A 5,771-nucleotide genomic window follows, 5' to 3' on the forward strand; every position below is an offset into this window, starting at 1 on the left:
ATGACCGCGGGCGCGAGACTCCGGGAACCGCGCTCCGCCCGCCTGGGCGTGGCGCCGCCGGTTGCAGATCGCAACCTGCGCATCCCGAACGGATGCCCAGCCTGATGGGCGTCGGCCCTACCCTGGAGCTTTCAGCGCGACAGGTCCCCCGCCAGACCCCGCTGGCCGAGTGGGGCTCTGCGCTCTCGTAGACCGCCCTCTGCGGTGAATCAAAATAATTGCTAACATATATTCAGTGCTGATCAGATGCTATCAGGCACTATTCTTACAACCTTTAACTAATTCACTCTTCATAACAATGCTGTATGCACTTCTCCCCCTGACAGGTGAGGACACTGAGGCACTGCGAATTGGCACTGAGTAAGGTGCCCAAGGTCACAGAGATAGCAAATTGGTGGTTCCAAAGTCGTTGCTCTTCACCACTGCCCTGTACTGCCTTTGCAAGAAACATGCACAGAGGAAGGAAGAAAGAAGGAGGGACGGTTTCCAGCCAGGACCAATCATGGCAGGGTGTGGGGTTTGTTCTGGATATTGAAGGAGAGGTAGGATTTCAACAAGCAAAGATGAAATTCAGAAGGACTGAGATGAGCTAAGGTAGAGAGGAGAAAGACAACTGTGTTTTCTAGAAATGTCGGGACTTCAAGACGGACGAAAGCATATGTTGGATGCATAAGAGTGAGGGGGAAACCCATGGCCACTAACTGGCCTAATCTCAGCTGGATTATTTCAAGGGTCTCTCATCAACCATTTCCTTTTCCATTCTCTCCTCTTTAATTCATTTTATGCTCTATTGCCACATTCATCCCTCAATCCACCTTCATAATATCAGTTCCCTGCTCAAGTTTTTTTTCAACAAAACATCAAAAAATAGTTTAAATAATTTATAAAGAAATTAGAGTGTATCCACTATACAATGGAATAATATGAGGCCAGTTTTATAAAAAATGAGTATAGGGCCGGGCGCGGTGGCTCACTCCTGTAATCCCAGCACTTTGGGAGGCTGAGGTGGGCAGATCATCTAAGGTAGCGAGTTCGAGACCAGCCTGACCAACATGGAGAAATCCCGTCTCTACTAAAATTACAAAATTAGCCGGGTGTGGTGGCGCATACTTGTAATCCCAGCTACTCAGGAGGCTGAGGCAGGAGAATCTCTTGAACCCGGGAGGCAGAGGTTGCGGTAAGCTGAGATCATACCATTGTACTCCAGCCTGGGCAACAAGAGCAAAACTCTGTCTCAAAAAATAAGAATAAAAAATAAATAAAAAGAGAGTACAGCCCAGGCAGCATAGCAAGACCCCATCTCTACAAAAAAAAAATTTTTTTTTAATTAGCCAGGGGTGGTGGTATGTGCCTGTAATCCTAGCTACTGGGGAGGCTAAGGTGGGAGGATCACTTGAGCCCAGGAGTTCAAGGCTGCATTGAGCTATGATCTCGCCATTGCACTGAGCTATGATCTCGCTGTTGCCCTGGGCAACAGTGAGACCCTGTCTCTCTCAAAAAAGAAAAATGAGGTAAATTTACATAAAGTGACATGAAAAATGCCCTTAATATGTTGTAAAAGAAAAGTCGATTACAAACCCACGGTCTGTAATCTCTTCTATTCCATGCCATTGGGACTAGAGGTAAGTTGTTAGTTGAAAAGTCGATTAAAATGCAGAATCCACTGGGCGCACTTTGGGAGGCTGAGGCAGGTGGATCACCTGAGGTTGGGAGTTTGAGACCAGCCTGGCCAACATGATGAAACCCCATCTCTACTAAAAATACAAAAAATTAGCCGGGCATGGTGGTGGGTGCCTGTAATCCCAGCTACTCAGGAGGCTGAGACAGGAGAATCACTTGAACCCAGGAGGCAGAGGGTGCAGTGAGCCAAGATTGAGCTACTGCACTCCAGCCTGGGCAACAAGAGTGAAACTCTGTCTCAAAGAAAAAAAAATGCAGAATCATAAAGCATTATACAGTACAGTATACAGTTTTGTTTTAAGAAAAATAAGCTTATTGTATAAGCATTTTATTTTAACTTAAGACTTACAAATTGAAGTAGTTTCAGGATTTTTCTGTGAATATAGCCCGCTCAATGAAGTTTCCTGCCTTTAATGAACTATTTATAATTTCTTTAAAGGTTTCTTTAAACTGGAGCAATAACTGAAAGACACTTGTGAAGCAATCTGAATGCAATTTTTTTTTTTTTTTGAGACAGGGTCTTGTTCTGTCCCCCAGACTGGAGTGCAGTGGCGTGATCTTGGCTCACTGTAACCTCCACCTCCCGGGTTCAAGCGATTCTCGTGCCTCTGCCTCCCGAGTAGCTGGGATTACAGACACACCACCAACATGCCCCGCTAATTTTTTGTGTTTTTTGTAGAGACAGGGTTTCGCCATGTTGCCCAGGCTGGTCTCGAACTCCTGAGCTCAGGCAATCCGCCCCCCTCAGCCTCCCAAAGTTCTAGGATCACAGCTGTGAGCCATTGTGCCAGACCAACATTCTTTTTGTTTTTTATTTTTGATTCAGGGTCACATATGCAAGTTTGCTATATAGGTAAGTTGTATGTCAAGGAGGTTGGGTGTACGTTTTATTTTGTCACTGCCATAATGAACATAGTACCCAATAGGTAACTTTTCATTTCCACCCTCATGTAGGCCCCAGTGTCTGTTGTTCCCTTCTTTGTGTCCATCTGTACTTAATGTTTAGCTCCCACTTATAAGTGAGAACATGTGGTATTTGGTTTTGTTTTCCTGCATTAGTTTGCTTAGGATAATGACCTAAGCAGTTCCATCTATGTTGCTGCAAAGGACATTATCTCATTCCTTTTTTGGCTGTGTAGTATGCTATGGTGTATACCTACCACATTTTCTTTATCCAGTCTACTGTTGATGGATACTTAGGTTAATTCCATGTCTTTGCTATTATGAATAGTGCTATGATGACTTTTTTTTTTTTTTTTTTTTTTTGCGACAGGGTCTTGCTCTATTCCCCAAGTTGGACTGCAGTGACACAATCATAGCTTACTGCAGCCTGGAACTCCTGGGCTCAAGGGATCCTCCCGCCTCAGCCTCTCAAAGTGCTGGGATTACAGGTGTGAGCCACAGTGTTTGGATGTGAAATTATTCTAGATGGAAGACTTTCCACTCTCAGATTTCCGACCCAGAGTTACTTTAACAATTTTTTTTAACAACTTGCCTTTAACAAGCTTTTCCAATGCATTCAACTTAGTTTTCACAGAAACATCTCTTTTCTCTTTATGCTCATATTTCATGTTTTCAAAAATTTAACTAAATTATGATAGCAAATATCACCGATATATTAATAAATAAATAAAATAAGCCCAAAGGCATTTAGTAAGCAAGTAGCTCAATTGACAGGAACAGAACTACCCAAGAGTTCTGAAAAGCAGCCTCTAGCCATGTGGGCATGCTGTGGGCATAGGTAAGTAGGTAAGTACATTTTAGAACTGGGAGAGTAAGTTAAACAGGGCATAAGAAAATAACTATGTATTTATGTACATACATATATGATGGTTGTACAACTCTATAAATTTACTAAAAATCATTGGTTTGTACACATAAAATGGGTGACTTTTATGGCATGTGGAATATATTTCAATAAAGCTGTTCTTTTTTTAAAGAAGACATCTGTGTATTTATATATTTGTACATTATCACTGAAAGGTCAAAGCATTGCCAAGAAAAAAGAGGCTGGGTGCGGTGGCTCACGCCTGTAATCCCAGCACTTTGGGAGGCTGAGGCGGGTGGATCACGAGGTCAGGAGATCGAGACCATCCTGGCTAACACGGTGAAACCCCGTCTCTACTAAAAAATACAAAAAATTAGCCGGGCGTGGTGGCAGGCACCTGTAGTCCCAGCTACTCGGGAGGCTGAGGCAGGAGAATGGTGTGAGCCCGGGAGGCGGAGCTTGCAGTGAGCCAAGATCGAGCCACTGCACTCCAGCCTGGGCGACAGAGCGAGACCCCATCTTAAAAAAAAAAAAAAGAAAGAAAGAAAAAAGAAAGAAAATAAATATTTAAAAAGATCTGGAGACCGTTAAAAGTAATATTCTTGAGGGCAGTATTACAAGGAACTTTCACTTTTTACTTTATATACTTGTGTTTGGTTTGAAATTTTACAGCAAGGATATACAATTTTTATAATAAAAATGGAAAATATACACACATTAAAAATTATTAGACTTCTAGATTAAGAAAATGGAGTAAAGCTATCTCACAGACTCTGTTTCAACCAATATCTAGGAAAGTTTAAAAAGTTAAAATTGTATCCACGGCAAAAAAACGTCAGTATCTTAAATGTCAGTAAGTGGTGGTCAAGGAAATAAATAGAAGATTCTGGGCTGGAGCATGTCAAGGCTTCCAGTTCTGCCTTCATTCCATCAAAACTCATACAATTAGATCCACAAAATCCTGACAATTAACACAAACATATCCACATACATTACAAGAGAGAAGAAAAGTAAACGCTTTCCTTCTCTTTCCCCTCCCATCTCTGGAAAATTGAAAATGGCTACTGGGGAGAAAAACTTGAAATGGGAAGTATGGAATAGACCAAATCTTTAAGATGGCAGTGAAGACTCAGGAAAACATGCTGAACTGAGAGAAGTTCCAAAAAGTGAAGCTATCTTTTCCATGGAAATGGACTACACCAGCCATTAGTGGGGTGAACTTTGGAATAGACACTTAACAAAACCTCAGAAGTGATTGCAGAACTTAGGTATTCTAACAAAGGCTGCACATGAGCAGCCCTCTCCCCTCTTCAGACAAGCATAAAAATCATAGAAAAACTGCATACTGCATAAAATAACACTCTTCTAACTGCAGTTCAGTAGGAAAAACAAATAAGTTTCAAATAAAGTGGAAAGCAATTCTGGAGACAAATAGAAAAACAAAAAACTTCACCCCAAGTGCTTTGAGCTGTAGAACAATTTATTAAGAAAATGACCTCAGGTCAGGTGTGGTGGCTAACACTTACGTAATCCTAGTGCTTTGTGAGGTCAAGGTGAATGGATTGCTTGAGGCCAGGAGTTTAAGACCAGTCTGGGCAACATAGCAACACCTTGTCTCTACAAGAATAAAAAAATTTAACCAGGCATGGTGCTGGGCACCTGTAATCCTAGCTACTTGGGACCCTGAGGCAGGAGAATTTCTTGAGCCCAGGAGTTCAAGGTTACAGTGAGCTATGATTGTGCCACTGTACTCCAGCCTGGGCAACAGAGCAAGACCTTGTCTCTAAAAAAAAGACAAGAAAATGAGCTCAATAGAATAAGAACTCAAAACCAAGATAATAAAACAACGGAAGGAGATGAATAGGGAAGTTGCACATTTGAGAATCCAAAGACTAATAAATACCTGAAAACAAGGAACCAAATAGACATGGCTAGGAGTGGAATTAGTTTTTTCTTTTCTTTTTTAAAGACTTTTACACTCCTAGAAATGGAACTATTGATATGGAAAATGGTTTTAAATAATCAAAATAATGGTAGATGAAAACACAAAGATATTAAAACAATCAGATAGAAATCTATAGATATGGAAGACAGAAGTTATTGGTGTCCCTGAAATTGAGAACTCATTAAATGGAACAGAAGTATTCAAAAATATAAAAACAAAAGTTTGCCCCAAAATGAAGTACTAATCTACAGCTTGAAAGGTCAAGACAGAAAGCACTTTGATACAGAATATTCTGTCCTGAAAAATATTGTAATTAACTTATTGAACTTCAGATAACCAGGCAGAAAAAGTAGAATGCCTACAAGGAAAAAAACTCAG

The sequence above is a fragment of the Homo sapiens genome, chromosome 1 (genome assembly GCF_000001405.40).
Source record: "Homo sapiens chromosome 1, GRCh38.p14 Primary Assembly".
Lineage (NCBI taxonomy): Eukaryota > Metazoa > Chordata > Mammalia > Primates > Hominidae > Homo > Homo sapiens.